Genomic DNA, 19,464 nt, shown 5'->3' with positions numbered 1-19,464 from the left:
CTGGAGCCTTTCGCTTTCTTTGCTACAGCGTTTTGTTTTGTTTTGTTTTGTTTTGTTTTGTTTTGTTTTGTTTTGTTTTGTTCATAACGCATTTTGCTTTTCTAAGCAGGAAAAAAAAAAAAAATTAAATAGGACAAGTTTGCTTGGGAGCCCTCTTGCCTTCTCTGGGCTACTCATTCTGGTCCAAGAGCATATGGACCCACCCTCCCATCTCACCCCCAGGAAGCCTTCCCTGAGAGCCCCAAGCCTGGGATAGGGGCCACTCCTCTGCCTTCCTACAGCAGCTTTCTACTGGCTTCAGCCCACCACAGACTGTCAACTTTTCGAGGTGGGCCCTGATGTCCACCTCTGACTCTCCAGCACCTAGCAGGGTATCAGCTGCTCACCGTTAGAGCTGGGAGAAGGGACGGCCAACCAGGATGACAGGGTTAAGTGACTCCAAAACACTGCCACTAGAATAAATCAGGATTAGGATGCCAATTACTTCTGATTCCAACTTGTAATTCCTTATATAATAGGAAAAATAAACAGAGTTCGCTATGGCCGATGTCAACAGAGCTCTAGAGGAGAAAACTTAAAACACTTTTCACAGGAAGTGTGATTCTACTTTTGTGGAGCCACCTTTGAAAGGGTAAAGAAAGAGGTATTCAATTCGTATTTATAGAAAATATTTAAAAACCTTCATTTTGGTGGATTATCAAGTTATTAGCCTACCAAAGGTGCTCCATGTCTTGGTCAGGCCCTGCTTACACTGGAGGCAAAAGCATCAGGAAGGAAAGTCTGCCTGGAAACAGGCCGACTCCTAACTTCTGCATGTTTTAGGGCAAGGGTTCATAGGAAGACCCACATACTATTCATCTGAATATTTAGAAGTTGTGGGCCGGGCACGGTAGCTCAGGCCAGGTGCGGTGGGTCACGCCTGTAATCCCAGCGCTTTGGGAGGCCGAGGCAGGCGGATCGCGAGGTCAAGAGATCGAGACCATCCTGGACAACATGGTGAAACCCCATCTCTGCTAAAAATACAAAAACCAGCCGGGCATGGTGGCACGCACCTGTAGTCCCAGCTACTCGGGAGACTGAGACAGGAGAATCGCTTGAACCCAGGAGGCAGAGGTTGCAGTGAGCCGAGATCACACCACTGCACTCCAGCCTGGCGACAGTGAGACTCCGTCTCAAAAAAAAAAAAAAAGAAAGAAGTCATGAAGCAGGCTGGATGTGCTGGCTCAGGCCTGTAATCCCAGCATTTTGGGAGGCCAAGGCAGGAGGATCACTTAAACCCAGGAGTTCGGGACCAGCCTGGGAGACTTGGTGAGCCCCTGTCTCTATAAAAAATAAAATCCAAAAAAAGAAGTTATGAAACAAACAACATGTTAAATTAAATATACTTTATCATCCTTATCCCTCTCCTTCTTACCTTATAAATCCATAACAAGAAAATTAAAAATATGTATACCTATTCCCCTTGGTCACAGTCAGGGGTCTGTGGCTAGCATGGCTGGTTCAGCCAGTGCAGTTGGTGACACCAGGAGCTAGGGGGTAATTGTCCAGCATCCTCAGCCAACAGCATCTTATTCAAGTGGTAAAAGTTAAAAAACCACCAATAGTGGGATGAATTAACATTATAGGTTCACACCTGTAATCCCAACATTTTGGGAGGCTGAGCCAGGAGGATCACTTCAGCCCAGGAGTTCGAGACCAGCCTGGGCACATAAGAAGACCTCTATCTCTAGGGAAAAAGAAAAAGGAAAGCAAAGAAAAAATAAATTAACATTATATGCCTCCTGATGCACTGAGAAGAACACAAAACACTTCCTACCAAATTTACATAATCTAATCTAAAATAGTTATCTAATATGTACCAACCAAATCTAATCATGATGAAACTACACGTAAATCCAGATTTAGATAATTCTACAAAGTAACTGGCCTGTACTCTTCAAAAATGACAAGATCATGAAAGATAAGGAAAGCCTAAACAATATTCCAGACTGAAAGAGACCAAAGTGACATGACAACTGTATGCAATGTGTGATTCCATATTGCATCCTGGACAAGAAAGGAAAAAGGGAAATAAGAAGTCTTTGTATTTCTTTTGTTCAAAGGACATTGTCAGAACAATCGGTGAAACTTTACTGAAGTCTGGATTAGGTGATAGTAATGAATCAATGTTAAATTCTGATTTTTTTTTGAGATGGAGTTTCGCTCTTGTTGCTGAGGCTGGAGTGCAATGGCGCAATCTCGGCTCACCACAACCTCTGCCTCCTGGGTTCAAGCGATTCTCCTGCCTCAGCCTCCCGAGTAGCTAGGATTACAGGCATGTGCCACTATGCCCGGCTAATTTTGTATTTTTAGTAGAGACGGGGTTTCTCCATATTGATCAGGCTGGTCTCGAACTCCTGACCTCAGATGATCCACCCCCCACCTTGGCCTCCCAAAGTGCTGGGATTACAGGTGTGAGCCACCAAGCCTGGCTAAATTCTGATTTTCATAGGTAGACTGGTTATGAATGAGAGTTCTTTTTTTTTTTTAAGGTAATACACACTGAACTATTTTGGAGTAGTGGGCATTATTTCTGCAACTTGGTCCCAGTAAATGGCTTAGGAAGAAAATTACATGTGTGTATATACATACACATATATGTGCATGTAAAGAGAGAGATTAATAAGGCAAAAATGTGTTAAAATGGTGACAGTGGGGAACTTGGGAGAAGAGTATATGGAAATTCTTTGTACGGTTCTTAACCCAAGCAGTGGTTTTGAAATTATTTCAAAATAAAAAACAAAACATTGGCTGGGTGTCATGGCTCACCCCTGTAATCCCAGGACTTTGGGAAGCCTAAGCAGGTGGATCACTTGAAGTCAGGAGTTTGAGACCAGCCTGGGCAACATGACAACTCCTCATCTCTACAAAAAATAAAAATTGTAGCTGGGCGTGGTGGTACGTGCCTGTGGTCCCAGCTACTCGGGAGGCTGAAGCGGCAGGATCACATGAGCCCAGGAGGCAGAGATTACAGCGGGTCATGATCTTGCCACTGCACTCCAGCCTGGGTGATACAGTAAGACCCTGTCTTGTAAAACCAAAAAACAAAAAACCTGCGCTAGAATGGGAGCTATTTGTTATTTATTATTCCTTCTAGAATATAGCTTTTATTATTTGAAATGAAAGTGAACTCAGATTTGGCTGGGCACAGTGGCTCACGCCTGTAATCCCAGCACTTTGGGAGGCCCACGCGGGCAGATCACAAGGTCAGGAGTTCGAGACCAGCCTGGCCAATATGGTGAAACCCCATCTCAACTAAAAATACAAAAATTAGCTGAGCGTGGTCGTGGGCACCTGTAGTCCCAGCTACTCGGGAGGCTGAGGCAGGAGAATCTGTTGAATGTTGTGGGTGGAGGTTGCAATGAGCCGAGATCGCGCCACTGCACTCCAGCCTGGGTGACAGAGCGAGACTCCATCTCAAAAAAAAAAAAAAAAGAAAGTGAACTCAGTTTCATCAAATATGTCAACCATACATTACAAATAGAAAATAAATCAGCAGCTCTGTCTGCTCTCCACCATGTGAGGACACAAGGAGGAGTCAGCAGTCTGCAGCCCGGAAGAGGCCTTCACCAGAACTGAACCATGCAGGCACCTTGATCTCGGACTTCCAGCCTCCTGGAACTGTGAGAAATAAATTTCTGTTGTTTATAAGTTTAAAAAAAAATCAGCAATTTTTTGTTCTGTCACTGATGATTTATTTGATGATTTAACACAAATATGTGAAAAGATTTTAAGATATTAACTACATAGTATGATTTTGAGGTGCCTACTTACTGCCCTAATTAGCTGGTTATGTATTGAAACCAGCAACTTTCATGATTATGATCAAAGAACATCTTAATACAAAATTTCAGCTAGGGGGAATAAGTTCAAGAGATCCATTGTACAATATGATGGCCATAGTTAATAACAATGTAGAATATATTCTTGAAAATTGCTAAGAAAGATTTTAAGTGTTAAAATCTTAACACTTAATAGATTTTAAGTGTTCTCATCAGAAAAAAAAATAAGTATGTGAGGTAATGCATATATTAATTAGTTCTATTTAGCCATACCACAGTTTATATATTTCACAACATGTTGTACACAATAAATGTGTCTAATATTTGTCAATCATATTTTAAAAATATGTTATTTACAATTTTTTTGTAATTGATTTTTGCTTTACATGAGAGTGTATAGAGCCATCTACTTTACAGTTGAATCTTCTTTATAGATATTAATCCAGTGGAAAAATTTGAAACGTTTTCTGATACAGGGTCTTGCTCTGTTGCCAGGCTGGAGTGCAGTGGCACGATCCTGGCTCACTGCAATCTTGAACTCCTGGACTCAGGGAATCCTACCACCTCAGCCTTCTGAGTAGCTAGGACTACAGGCCCATGCCACCAAACCTCACCAATTTTTTGTTTTAAGAGACAGAGTCTTGGGCCAGGCACAGTGGCTCACGCCTGTAATCCCAGCACTTTGGGAGGCCGAGGTGGGCGGATCATGAGGTCAGGAGATTGAGATCATCCTGGCTAATACGGTGAAACCCCGTCTCTACTAAAAATACAAAAAATTAGCTGGGCGTGGTGGCGGGCACCTGTAGTCCCAGCTACTTGTGAGGCTGAGGCAGGAGAATGGTGTGAACCTGGGAGGCGGAGCTTGCAGTGAGCAGAGATGGTGCCACTGCACTCTAGCCTGGGTGACAGAGCGAGAATCCACCTCAAAAAAAAAAAAAAAAAAGAGACAGAGTCTCACTACATTGTCCTCGCTGGTCTGAAACTCCTGGCCTCAAACAATTCTCCGATCTCAGCCTCCCAAAGCACTGGGATTAAGGCATGAGTCACCATGCCCAGCTGAAACATTTTTGTTTGTTTGTTTTGAGACAAGGCCTCACTGTCTCCCACGTTGTAGCATAGTGGCTCAATGAAAGCTCACTGCAGCCTCGAACTCCTGGCTGGACTCAAATGATTCTCCAACTTCAGCCTCTGGAGTAGCTAGGACCACAGGCACACACCACCATGCCCCACTAATTTTTAAATTTTTTGTAGCAACAGAATGTTGCCATGTTGCCCAGGCTGGTCTCGAACTCTGGGCTCAAGTGATCCTCCAGCCTTGACCTCTCAAAGTGCTGGGATTACAGGTGTGAGCCCCCTGACCCCGCTGAAACATTTTTAAACCTGTACTTTTATCTAGGAAAAATTAATTAGCCAAAGAAAGAGTAAATTTTGTTTCTTTTTTAAAAAATGTGTAAATCAGGCCGGGTGCAGTGGGTCACGCCTATAATCCCAGCACTTTGGGAGGCCAAGGCGGGCGGATCATGAGGTCAGGAGATCGAGACCATCCTGGCTAATACAATGAAACCCCGTCTCTACTAAAAATACAAAAAATTAGCCGGGTGTTGTGGCGGGCGCCTGTAGTCACAGCTACTTGGGAGGCTGAGGCAGGAGAATGGCATGAACCCGGGAGGCGGAGCTTGCAGTGAGCAGAGATGGTGCCACTGCACTCCAGCCTGGGTGACAGTGACACTCCATCTCAAAAAAAAAAAAAGAAAAAGAAAAAGTGTAAATCTATGGTTTTTAATGGGACTGAAAGTCAGCAAAATATCAATGACAATTATGATTATGACTGGGTGTTCTGCTAATAGGCTATTGATGTTTGGATGACTAATAAAGACGTACACAATTCATAATTATAATATATGCATTTCATAAAAATTCCTTTTTGTGTCTTCATTTCAGCAAAGTTTCTTTGTTGTTATCATTAAGATATCACATAATTTATGTTCTACAGATAGTAATGCCAAATTAGATAATGTTTCTTGGGTCATTGTCATTCTTTTTGCCATGTTGCCCAGTCTGGTCTCAAACTCCTGGGCTCAAATGACCCACCCGCCTCAGCCTCCCAAAGGGCTGGGATTACAGGCGTGAGCCACCGAGTCCACCCTATTGTCATTCTTAAATAGTTTTATTATTTCCAATAAATTTTGTTCTGCTGAAGCAAGAGAAACTGGAATTTTAAATAAAATTCTTAAAGCAATACTTAGATTTGGAAACGAACCATGATTTTTATATATCACATTTAAACAATGTGATGGTATCACATACGATCATTCATTGTTTTCACAGAAACTATTACTTTATATTTTCATATTGCCATGTAAATCATTGTCACTTTGATTGCTATTTTCTTTCTTTTTTTTTTTTTTTTTTTGAGATGGAGTCTCACTCTGTCACCCAGCCTGGGAGTGCAGTGGCGTGATCTCGGCCCACCGCAACCTCGCCCTCCCGGGTTCAAGCGATTCTCCTGCCTCAGCCTTCTGAGTAGCTGGGACTATAGGCACGCAACATCACACCCAGCTAATTTTTGTATTTTTAGTAGAGATGGGGTTTCACCATGTTGGCCAGGATGATCTCGATCTCTTGACCTCGTAATCCGCCCGCCTCGGCCTCCCAAGGTGCTGAGATTACAGGCATGAGCCACCGCGCCTGGCCTGATTGCTATTTTCACTGTCTTGTAGTTGTATCTACATCCATTAAGGTTTTGGTAAATTCTTCTCCTTTCCAATATTTCAATGCTGGAGTATAATAAAGAAAAACAAAACTAGCAGTATGTTGCTTGATTTGTTCAAATATCTTTTCAATTAGACTATACACTAATTTATCAGGTTCAGAAAACAATATAAAAATTAGTTTTAGGTTTATTTTTACATACGTTTTCTTCCTTACAGTTATGTAAACTTTGTCTCCTCATTCTAATTCCCTTGTATTGAATTGGAATGTCACTTTTGTTGGTTTTCATTCAGTTTCATTCACTTCAGAAAAAAAAATTTCTCTAAAAAATGTTAATTCTTTTACAATTTAAATTTATTTGAGTTTTTGAACACTTATATTAACTTTTTTTTTTTTTTGAGATGGAGTCTGGCTCTGTCACTGGGCTGGAGTGCAGTGAGTGGCGTGATCTCGGCTCACTGCAACCTCCGCCTCCTGGGTTCAAGTGATTCTCGTGCCTCAGCCTCCCAAGTAGCTGCGATTACAGGCATGCACTACCACACCCAGCTAATTTTTGTATTTTTTGTAGAAACGCGGTTTCACCATGTTGGCCAGGATTGTCTCGATCTCTTGACCTCATGTTCTGCCCGCCTTGGCCTCCCAAAGTGCTGGGATTACAGGCGTGAGCCACCGTGCCTGTCTGTATCAACATTATTAAAAGCAAGCAAGGCTGGGTGTGGTGGCTCATGCCTGTAACCCCAGCACTTTGAGAGGCCAAGGCAGGAGGATCACTTGAGCCCAGGAGTTCAAGACCAGCCTAGGCAACATAGTGAGACCCCGTCTCTACACAAAATAGAAAAAATTAGCCAAGTGTGGTGGCGAGTGCCTGTAGCCCCAGCTACTCAGGAGGCTGAGGTGGGAGGATTGCTTGAGCCCAGGAGGCCAAGGCTGCAGAGAGCCATGATAGTGCCACTGCATTCCAGTCTGGGTGACAGAGTGAGACCCTGTCTTAAAAAATAAATTAATTAAAAAGAGCAAGCAATGCCACATATCAAAAAACTAGAGAGTACACACTCAAAAAAAATCATTTTCTGCCTAGGCTCCTGATTTGCTCTTTACTTGAGCACCTTCCGTTATTTCACTTTACTCTTCTAGATCATCTCATATCTTGTCTAAATCAAATCTGTTTCAACAAGATGAATGCCCTTGGAACCAGAAATTAGAACATAAAGACAAACAAGAAAATGAATATGCTTTCTTCATTACTCAAGGCATGCTACTTTGTTATTAAAGAATCCTTTGCATTCCCATTATCAGAAAGACAGGATTTGATAAGTTAATTTGTTTTTTCCCTACTAGGTAAACAACTTTCCATTACTCAAACCTCCCTGCTTTCCAAAGCAGCGTCCATTTCAAATGTCAACTGCAGCACAACTCCAAAATCTTCATGACATTCAGACACAGTCGCCTTTTGTTTTCAGGTCACAGCATGAGAAATGAGAAGGAGCATATCCCTAGAGCCTGGAAGGTGTTGATTTCTAGGGCAGATGCTTAGAGTTTCTGGTCAGAACTGAGTACCAAGTCCTAAGTGACAGAGGCAACCATAGCCATGCATTGTTTTTGTTTTTGTTTTGTAGCCATGCATTCTTCTTCTTCTTCTTTTTTTTTTTTTTTTTTTGAGATGGAGTCTCACTCGTCATCCTGGCTGGAGTGCAATGGTGCGATCTTGGCTCACTGGAAGCTCCACCTCCCGGGTTCAAGCTATTCTCCTGCCTCAGCCTCCCAAGTAGCTGGGATTACAGGGGCCTGCCACCAACCCCGGGTAATTTTTGTATTTTTAGAAGAGACGGGGTTTCGTCATGTTGGCCAAGCTGGTCTTGAACTCCTGACCTTGTGATCTGCCTTGCCTCAGCCTCCCAAAGTGCTGGGATTACAAGCATGAGCCACCGTACCTGGCCTGTAGCCATCATTCTTTAAACTTACTTTTCTGTATGTTTGTGACATGAAGAGTTTTATAAAGTGCAGGGTCAGAGGAAGTTTCCCTCTTGCCCGGGTCAAAGGGAAATACTTCATGGAAACTTCACACCCTACAAAGATCACAATGCCTGAGCCTCTCCCTGCTGGTCTGCTGTGCTGGACTTCTTTTGTCATTTTTTTTTAGACAGGGTTTTACTCTGTCACTCAGGCTGGAATGCAGTGGTGCAACCACAGGTCACTGCAGCCTGAACTCCTGGGCCCAAGCAATCTTCTGGCCTCAGCCTTTCCACCAGCTGGGACTATAGGTATGCACCACCATGCCTGGCCTGGCTTGTGCTAGACTTTCACTGGCTTCCACTGATCTGTTGTTGATGACTCAGACTTGATTGGGACAGTGCATGGGGAAAAGAAAGGGGGCTCCCAGATTTCTATATATTAAAAATAGTGGGCTGGACACAAATAGTGACTCGCGCCTGTAATCTCAGCACTTTAGGAGGCCAAGGCAAGAGGATTGCTTGAGTCCAGGAGTTTGAGACCATCCTGGGCAATATAGGGGGACCCCATCTCTGCAAAAAAAAAAAAAAGTTGTTTTTTTTTTGAGACAGGGTCTCACTTTGTCACCCAGGCTGGAGTGTGGTGGTGCAATCTTGGCTCACCACAATCTCCGCCTACTGGGTTCAAGCGATTCTCCTGCCTTAGCCTCCTGAGCAGCCTGGGTGACAGAATGAGACCCTGTCTCAAACAAACAAACAGACAAAATAAAGATGAAACTGTAGCTGGGAAGCTGATTGTTATCTCCCAGGTCATCAGGCTGAAACTGAAGCATTACAAATCTTCCAGAAAATGAAGACTTTCAAAACTCTGATCAGTATGAACTAAGGGACATAGTCCTGTTACCAGATGGAAGCCCCTATGAATAGAAAGAAATGTCAGGCCAGGCGGTGGCTCACGCCTGTAATCCCAGCACTTTGGGAGGCTGAGGCGGGTGGATCACCTGAGGTCAGGAGTTCAAGACCAGCCTGGCCAACATGGTGAAACTCTGTCTCTACTGAAAATACAAAAATTAGCCGGGCGTGGTGGCGCACTTCTGTAATCCCAACTACTCCAGAGGCTGAGGCAGCAGAATCGCTTGTACCCGCGAGGCGGGGGTTGCAGTGAGCAAAGATTGCACCACTGCACTCCAGCCTGGGCGACAGAGTGAGACTCCGTCTCAAAAAAAAAAAAAAAAAGAAAGAAATATGAGGGAAGCCCTGCAAACCTAAAGAAGGTGGTCTCAGGACAACTCTGGGAAGTTAAACATCAATTTTTCAGCTACCTAACATACAAAAGTCAAAATATTTAAGTAATTCTGTAATATTTAGATGGCTTCCTAGAGGTGAAGTTTACAACAAGTCATAAAAAAGAAAGTTGGAATGCCCAAGGATTGCTAAACTTTAGAGGTCAATGCCACTTTAAAAGCAGTTTTCAGCCAGGCACGGTGGCTCACACCTATAATCCCAGCACTCTGGGAGGCCGAGGCGGGTGGGTCACGAGGTCAGGAGTTCGAGACCATCCTGGCCAACATAGTGAAACCCCATCTCTACTAAAAATACAAAAAATTAGCCAGGCGTGGTGGCGGACGCCTGTAGTCCCAGCTACTCAGGAGGCTGAGGCAGGAGAATCGCTTAAACCCGGGAGGCGGAGGTTGCAGTGAGCTGAGATCACGCCATTGCACTCCAGCCTGGGCGACAGTGAGAGACTCTGTCTCAAAAATAAATAAATCAGTAAATAAAGTAGTTTTCTTTCACCCTGCCTGTCTAATATATATATATATATATATATATACACGTATATATACGAATATATATTCGTATATATATATATATATACACGTATATACGAATATATATGTATATATACACGTATATACGAATATATATGTATATATACACATATATATACACGTGTGTATATATACATGTATATATACGCGTGTATATATATGTGTATATATATACGCGTGTATATATATATGTATATATATACGCGTGTATATATATATAAGTGTGTATATATACGTGTATATATATGTGTGTGTGTGTATATATATATATACACCTATATATATATATATATATATATACACACGTATATATAGTGTGTGTGTGTGAGTTTGGGAGTGTGTTACAAGCTAAGAATCCTACCTGAGAACTAAAATTGTGAGTCTACATCTTTTCTGGAATTATTGAAAGTGACCATGGTCTTATTTTGCCAGTTCATCAAGGTTTAAAATATATGACTAATGACAAACTTTATAAATCCTTTTGAGAATCTACCTGTTAAATTACACCAATGTCTGTCTCCCTCTTCAATTATTTGGGCATATAAAGAGGACCTAAGATATATACATGAAAGCTCACCAAGTTTTTGGGAGAAACAACATAAATTATGGCTTTTTCCCTTAGCACATGACAATAAAGCCAACTTCTTCAAGGAAATATTGCAAACATAAAGGTGTAATTATATTTGTTATAGACAACCTCAAAGTGATGCTCATAATGCTCTTAGTCATTTTCATGTTTCTGCATGGGGTCAGCATCTTAGAGAGTCTGTGCTTAAAGGAGTCATCGGAATGGCACTTAGCACTGACAGCACAGCCATCAGATGAGTGTTTGAATACACCGAATGACTCCAGGAGCTCCGATGGAAGAGGCAGGACAAGTACATTAAGAATACTTGATAAAGAGCAAATAACACCAGAAACCCAAGTCACCCTTGATGATTCTCTTTTTCTCAAGTTCCACATCCATATCCTAGTGGCTGCACTTTAAAATATGTATATATAAAATAGCCAACCATTTCTCATGCCCTCCACTGCTACTGCCCTGGTCCAAGCTACCATCATCATTGCCCAGGTCATTGCATTAACTTCAACAGTTCACTCTGCTTCAAACTTTGCCCTTCTACAGGTTATTCTCCACACAGCCCGACTGATATTTTAAAAATACAAGTCAGAGTATGCTACTCCTCTGCTCAAAATTCTCCAGTGGCCAAATTCCTCATCACAGCCCACAAAATCCTACATGCTCTGGACTCCACATGTTTCTCTGACCTCACCTCTTCTCCTTTCAACCTTTCCTCATTCCATTCCAAATACTGGCCTCTAGGCGCACTCCTAGCTCAGAGTCGTTGTACTAGCTGCTCCCTCTGCTTTCACTAGTCAGCCACCAAATATTCATTTGGTGTGCTGCTTTACTTCTTTAGGTCTTCTTTTCAGGAAGGCCTTCCCTCATCATTACATCTAAAATAAAATACCCCATCACTCTCTCTTCCCTGTATCCTGCTTTTTCTCCACAGCATTTGTTACAACCTAGGAATTACACATTTGTTAATTTGTTTAGTGCATCTACCCTCCCTACCCCAAACAGTCTGTGAAGTCAGGAAAGGGACATTATCTGTTGCAATCACTGCTGTATTCCCAGCATGCATAGCAGAGTTTGGTATAAAATAAATTTAATGAGTAAATGAAATGGGTATACTATTATGGCAGGCACATTATAACCTCTCACCATTTATTTTAGTTGTTCCATTTATCAGTTAGTATATAACAATCTACTTGAAAATATAGAGGCTTAAAATAATAACACTTATTTATTTATTTTGAGATAGGGTCTCACTCTGTCACCCAGGCTGTAGTGTAATGGTGCTATCGGAGCTCACCGCAGCATTGATCTCCTGGGCTCAAGGGATCCTCCCACCTCAGCCTCCAGAGTAGTTGGGACTACAGATGCATGCCCCCATGCCCAGCTAATTTTTTATTTTTTGTAGAGATGGAATCTTGCTATGTCGCCCAGGCTGGTCTCAAACTCCTGGACTCAAGCAATCCTCCCACCTCCCAAAGTGTTGGGATTACAAAGTGTAAGCCATTGCATCTGGCCTTTTAAATTTTTTTGTAGAGACAGGATCTTGCTATGTTGCCCAGGCTGGTCCCGAACTCCTGGGCTCAAGTTCTCCTTCTGTCTTGGCCTCCCAAAGTGTTGGGATTACAGACGTGAGCCACTGAGCCTGGCCTTCTAGTTTTTTTTTTTTTTTTTTTTTTAGACAGGGTCTCACTCTGTTGCGCAGGCTGGAGAGCAGTGGTGCGATTTCAGCTCACTGCAATCTTTTCCTCCAGGATTCAAGCGATTCTCCTGCCTCTGCCTCCCAAGTAGCTGGGATTACAGGCACATGCCATCACGTGAACCCAGCTAATTTTTGTGGGTTTTTTCTTTCTTTTCTTTTTTTTTTTTCTGAGACAGAGTCTTGCTCTGTCACCCAGGCTGGAGTGCGATGGCACAATCTCAGCTTACTGCAACCTCTGCCTCCCAGGTTCAAGCGATTCTCCTGCCTCAGCCTCCCAAGTAGCTGGGACTACAGGCGCACACCAGAACGCCTAGCTACTTTTTGTATTTTTAGTAGAGACAGAGTTTCGCCATTTTGGCCAGGCTGGTCTCGAACTCCTGACCTCAAGTGTTCCCCCCACCTCGGCCTCCCAAAGTGCTGGGATTACAGGCATGAGCCACTGCTCCCAGCTTAGTTTTTGTGTATTTTTATTAGAGACGGGGTTTCGCCATGTTGGCCAGGGTGGTCTCGAACTCCTGACCTCAGGTAATATGATGTCCTTGGGCTCCTAAGGTGCTGGGATTACAGGCATGAGCCACCAGGCCTGGCCTCTAGTTTTATTTGAGGTGTTTTGTTGTTGTTTTGTTTTGTTTTGACAAATAGAGATTTGCAGTGGATTAGGGGTAATTTGGTCTTGCTTGCAGTGCTTCTACTCACCAGAAGGAGGAGTGTGGCCAGCAAGCTGCCAGAAGATGAAGCTGTATTTCTAGGGGCAGAAAGAAAATTGGGAAATGAACAAATGACCTACTTCTTTCCATCTAAGTATACCTGAAGAAGGGTGCAGCTACTGGCTACTGGCCTAAAATTTGGGAAGGGAAGGAGGATATTGGTGAAAGCCTGGGAGAAGCTTGCCAAGATTCATCTGTTTCCAGTAACAGAGGGGCAGGAGCAGGTGAGTTTGAGTTTGTGTGTTTGTGGGTGTTTGGGGCAATGCCTCAGAGAGAGAAGGCGGCTAATGACAGGGTCATTAGATGTCAGTAAGTGACTTTGCAATTCAAAGTGTTGCTATCCTAAAACCAGGAAGTAAGCACAGGACCTCATGGATTGTACACAGGTCATATTCATGTGCACTTCTGAGTTTGGTCCAAAAATATGGTATAACCTGTATGTGTTCCACAACTGTCTTTTGCATTTTGTCCTCTATAATACATAAATGGCCATTCTTCCTTCAGCTATGAAATTGATTTTACCTCCTAGACCCACTACCTCCTAATTCTTGCCCCTCTCTTTAACCCATGAATCCTTGCTGCCAGTCTTTGGTTGAGACAAAGACCAGCCTTGGGTGGGGACTCCTTTTTTCAAGAATGTCTGAGGCTATCAGTAGTAGTGAATTTATATATTCTCAATACCAAAAGGGGCTGAAACAATTCTTGGATGGCTTCAAGTTTGAAACCAACAAGTCAGAAAGACTCCAGACCATTTCAGCCCCCAGGGCCATGGGTAGCACCAAAGGAGAGAATGGGCTTTAGTATCCCTACAGTCTTCATTAGCACCCCCATCATTGATACAGACGATTAGTATTTTCTCAATTTTTATAAAGTGCTATGTACATGCACCTTCAAGACCTGTTCTCTCACCCTACCTCTCCACCTAGAAAGCTGCTGTATGCTCCTGCTGTGTAAAAATCCTAAAGCTGTCCCTGGTTGGTCATCTGCAACGACCCATAACACTTGGCTTCCTGGAGTAGGTGCAATTGAGATTCTTTGAACTTTGCCCAATTTTAAGTGTAACACAACCAGTGTAGTTGCAGTATTTACATTGGAAAAACAGGTTCTGATCAGCATTAGTATGGGCAAAGTGGATATAGTTTTAACTTACTTACTAAACTAGAATGTTTGCCTTTAGATCACCATGTGTACTTTCTTTGGTCATTTATTGCTGAAGTAATCATTAAACCTTGGTGTTGTCCCCATCATAGATTAAGTAAAGGCCCAGGCAAGAAAATCTCTAGATGATTTTTTCCTTTAAAACCCACCCAATTTAGAATAATTTTTCATTCACCAATAATTTTTCATTCACCAAAAGTAGAAACTTAACATGACTTCCTAGATGAGACTTTTTAAATTTTACTGTCACCATTATTTACACACTTGTTGAAGAATATAGAATAAGTCCTCTTTTCCAGAATAAAATAAGCTTTTTTTTTTCTATAATAGAATAGCTATATTTTTTCTTTTTTCTACTAGAATCCTCTGCTGGAGGAAATACTTGGATAAGGTGCTGCTGTGGAGGGTGAGGCCTCAAGGACTTGCTGAAGCATCAGGCTTGAAAAACTGCTATGCAGACAGCCAGGCGAAGAATTTGCTTTGCACACCTGTAATCCTAGCATTTTGGGAGCTGAAGTAGGAGGATTACACAGCTGCACTCCAGCCTAGGCGACAGAGTGAGATCTCATCTCTCTAAAAAACAAACAAACAAACCAGGTCAACATAGCAAGACCCTGTCTCCATCAGGGGCAGAGCCAGGGGAAGAATTTGCTTTGCTTCTGAAAGGAAGTCATATGAATGAGACGGGGGAAAGGAAAGAGAGGAGAGTGAAGCCACCGTGATGGCTTTCTATGAATTGACTCTTCTCCATGATCCCACTATCTTCAGTGAAGTCTACTAAAATCCGTAAAATGTTGGTGGAAATGAATTTCCTTTGAAAAGTCATGTGGGGCTAAATTCTGGGCTGGCATGAATGAAAGAGGAACAAAAACAGCACGCCCCAAAATATGAGCTGAAGGCAGAAATGATCATGAAATTATAAGTCACTGGGAATTAGCAGGAATCCTGGTTAGGACATTGGATTTTACAGACCTCAGAAACTGAAAGATTGAGTGGAATTTAACTGCTTTTCTGAGGGGAAAGAGCTTCCCTAGTTGACATCTGAAATAATTCTCAAAGGGAATTATTTTGGGAAGGTGAAGCACTGCCTAACACAAATCTTCAGGCCTGAAAATTCACGTCGCAAGGAAGGGTAACTAGTTTCTAACTTTATTATTTGGAAATTTAAAATCCATATAATAAGAATTGGTAGCCAGGCACAGTGACTCATGCCTGTGGTCCCAGCTCTTTGGGAGGCCAAGGCAGGCAGATCACTTGAGCCTAGGAGTTCGAGGCTAGCCTGGGCAACATGGTGAAACCTCATCTCTACATACACAAATACACACACACACACACACACACACACACTCTCAAACTGAGAGTGTGTGCCTCAGAGAGAGAAGGTGGTGCCTGCTCCTGCCCCTCCATTATTGGAAACAGAGGAATCTTGGCAAGCTTCTCCCAGGCTTTCTCTATATCCTCCTTCCCTTCCCAAATTTTAGGCCAGTAAAATCGCATATTTATATACAAAAAACAATTCGCTCTGTATGATGGCATGTGCCTGTAGTCCCAGCTACTTGAGAGGCTGAGGCAGTAGGATCAATGGATCCTGGGAGGTAGAGGCCGCAGTGAGCTGTGATCACACCACTGCACTTCAGCCTGGGTGACAGAGTGAGACCCGGTCTCAAAAACAAACAAACAAACAAAAAAACCCAAACAAACAAACAAAATCAGGATTGGCTTTTCCATATCACCTTTAAGAATCTACTGGTTGTGGCTGGGCATGGTGGCCCACACCTGTAATCCCAGAATTTTGGGAGGCCGAGATGGGCGGATCACCTGAGGTCAGGAGTTCGAGACCAGCCTGACCAATATGGTGAAACTCTGTCTCTACTAAAAATACAAAAATCAGCCGGGCATGGTGGTGAGCGCCTGTAGTCCCAGCTACTCGGGAGGCTGAGACAGAAGAATTGCTTGAACCTAGGAGGAAGAGGTTGCAGTGAGCCAAGATTATGCCACTGCACTCCAGCCTGGGCGACAGAGCGAGAGTACGTCTCAAAAAAAACCAAAAACCAAAAAACCAAAACACTCTCTCCCATCCCCAAAACTTTGCAGAAATATATCTCATTTTAAACTAATTAACTGTTAGAAAATGAGGCTTAAGACTGAAATTTCGATAAACTCGAGTCAACTTTAAGAAATCCCCCCAGAGGTAATTTATGTCATTTTCCTGCTCTATCCCTCTGCATCCTGTTCTTTGGGATGAATGTTAGCTGTACCTGTTAAGGCCTGAGCTTGAGAGTAAACAGGTTCTAGGTTTCTGCGTGGCTCCAACACTTACTACCTCCCTAAGCCCCCAATTTTTTACCCATAAAATGGCAATAGTAATAGTACTACCTCCAAGAATTATTGTGAGGATTAAATAAATGCTCAATATTCATTGTTAGAAGTAGTATTGATGGAAATAGATATGTCTTGATCTATTTTCTGCTGCTATGGCAGAATACCACAGATTGGATAACATAAAGAGTAGAAGTTTATGTGGCTCATGGTTTTGGAGCCTGAGAAGTCCAACAGCATAGTCTAGTGTTTGGTGAGGATAATTTATGGTGGAAAGTGGAAGACAAGTGAGCATGTGAGACAGAGAGAAAAGAAAGCCAAACTCTCACGATAACTAACCCACTCCCACAATAACAACGTTAATTTAGTCTGGGCATCATGGCTCACGCTTGTAATCCAAGCACTTTGGGAGGTTGAGGCAGGAGGAACACTTGAGCCCAGGAGTTTGAAACCAGCCTGGGCAACACAGGGAGATCCCATCTCTACAGAAAATAAAAAAATTAGGCCAGGCACGGTGACTCACACGTGTAATCCCAATACTTTGGGAAGCCAAGGTGGGCAGATCACTTGAGGCCAGGAGTTTAAGATCAGCCTGGCCAACAGGTGGTACCCCCGTCTGTACTAAAAAAAAAAAGAAAAAAGAAAGAATTAGCTGGGCACGGTGGTGGGCACCTGTCATCCCAACTGTGCAGCAGGCTGAGGCACAAGAATCCCTTGAACCCTGGAAGCAGAGGTTGCAGTGAGCCAAGATCATGCCACTGCACTCCATCCTAGGCAACAGAGTGAGACTCTGTCTCAAAAAAAAAAAAAAAAAATTAGCCAGGCACTGTGGTACATGCCTGTGGTCCCAGCTACATGAGAGGCTGAGGCAGGAGGATCACTTGAGCCCAGGAGGTCAAGGCTGCCGTGAGCTGTGTTCACACCACTGTACCCCAGCCTAGGTGACAGAATTAGACTGTGTCTCAAAAAAAACCAAAAACCCAAAACATTAATTTATTCAGGAGGGCAGAGCTCTCATGACCTAGTCACCTCTTTTAAAAGAAATACAATTGACACACAATAATTACACTTATTTATAGGATACAATGTAGTATTTAGATACATATATAAATTACTTAATGATCAAACCAAGGTAATTACCATATCCATCACCTCAAATATTTATCATTTTTTGTGATAAGAATATTTTTAAATGTTTTCTATTTTGAGATATATATTATTGTTAACTCTAGTCAACCTACTATACAATAGACCATCAGAACTTAATTCTTCTATCTAACTGTAGCTTTGTACCTATTGACCAATCTCTCATCACCCCCTCCTCCTTCTTACTCTCTCCATCCACTGGTAACCATTATTCTACTCTGTACTTGTATGATAAAAACTTTTTAGATTCTAAATATGAGTGAGATCATGTGGTATTTGTCTTTCTATATCTGCCTAATTTCACTTAATATAATGTCCTCCAGGTTCATCCATGTTGTCACAAATGCCAGGCTGTCCATCTTTTTTAAGGCTGACTGGTATTCCATTGGGTATTATTTACCACATTTCCTTTATCCATTCATCCATCAATGGACACTTATCAAAATCAACTTATGTTGATTTCACATCCTGACTATTATGAATACTGCTGCAGTAAACATAGAAGTAAAGATATCTCTCTGACATACTGATTTTCTTTCTTTTGGATATATATCCAGTAGTGGGATTGCTGGATCTTATGGTAGTTTTATCAGCAGTGTATAAGGGTAACCTTTTCACCATAACCTTTTCAATACTTGTTATCTTTTTATTTTTTGATAGTAGCCATTTTGACAGGACTGAGATGATATTTCATGGAGTTTTGATTTGCATTTTCCTGATGATTAGTGATGTTGAGCATTTTTCACATATATGCTGGCCATTTGTATATCTTCTTTTGAGAAATGTCTATTCAGGTTTTTTGCCCATTTTAAAATCAGATGATTTGTTTGTTGTTATGGTTGCTGAGTCGTTTGAGTTCCTTACATATTTGGGTTATTACACCTTATGAGATGTATAGTTTGCTAATGTAGTCTCCTGTTCAGTAGGTTATCTCTTTTCTCTGTTGATTTTTTTTTTTTAAGATGGAGTCTCACTCTATTTCCCAGGCTGGAGTGCAGTGGCACAATCTCAGCTCACTGCAACCTCTGCCTCTCTGGTTCAAGAGATTCTCCTGTCTCAGCCTCCCCAGTAGCTGGGATTACAGGTGCCCGCCACCACACCTGGCTAATTTTTGTATTTTTAGTAGAGATGGGGTTTCACCATATTGGTCAGGCTGGTCTGGAACTTCTGACCTCAGGTGATCCACCTGCCTTGGCCTCTCAAAGTGCTGGGATTATAGGCGTGAGCCACTGCTCCTGGCCTGTTGTTTCTTTTGCTGTGCAGAAGCTTCTGAGTTTGATGTAATCCTATTTGTCTACATTAGCTTTTGTTGTTTGTGTTTTTGAGTTTTACACACACACACACACAAAAATCCTTGCCTAGGCCACATATCACAGAGCTTCCCCTTCTGTGTTTTCTTCTAGTAGTTTTGTCATTTTGGGTCTTACATGTAAGTCTGTAATCCATTTTGAGTTAATTTTTGCATATGGTGAGAGATAAGGGTCTAGTTTCATTCTTCTGCATCTGGATAGCCAGGTTTCCCAGCATCTTTTATTGAAGAGGCT

General features: G+C 42.4%; 1 annotated feature.

Annotated features, from left to right (window-relative positions):
- Positions 2–51: an enhancer, noted in NCBI's record as "active region_1319". NCBI's record gives its function as "activates an Ori minimal core promoter by ATAC-STARR-seq in GM12878 lymphoblastoid cells {active_cell/tissue: GM12878}" and the evidence as "EXISTENCE:reporter gene assay evidence [ECO:0000049][PMID:35858748]".

This window comes from Homo sapiens, chromosome 1 (genome assembly GCF_000001405.40).
Source record: "Homo sapiens chromosome 1, GRCh38.p14 Primary Assembly".
Lineage (NCBI taxonomy): Eukaryota > Metazoa > Chordata > Mammalia > Primates > Hominidae > Homo > Homo sapiens.
The sequence above is the reverse complement of the archived record's forward strand: the minus strand, read 5'-3'. Positions and strand labels throughout refer to the sequence as shown.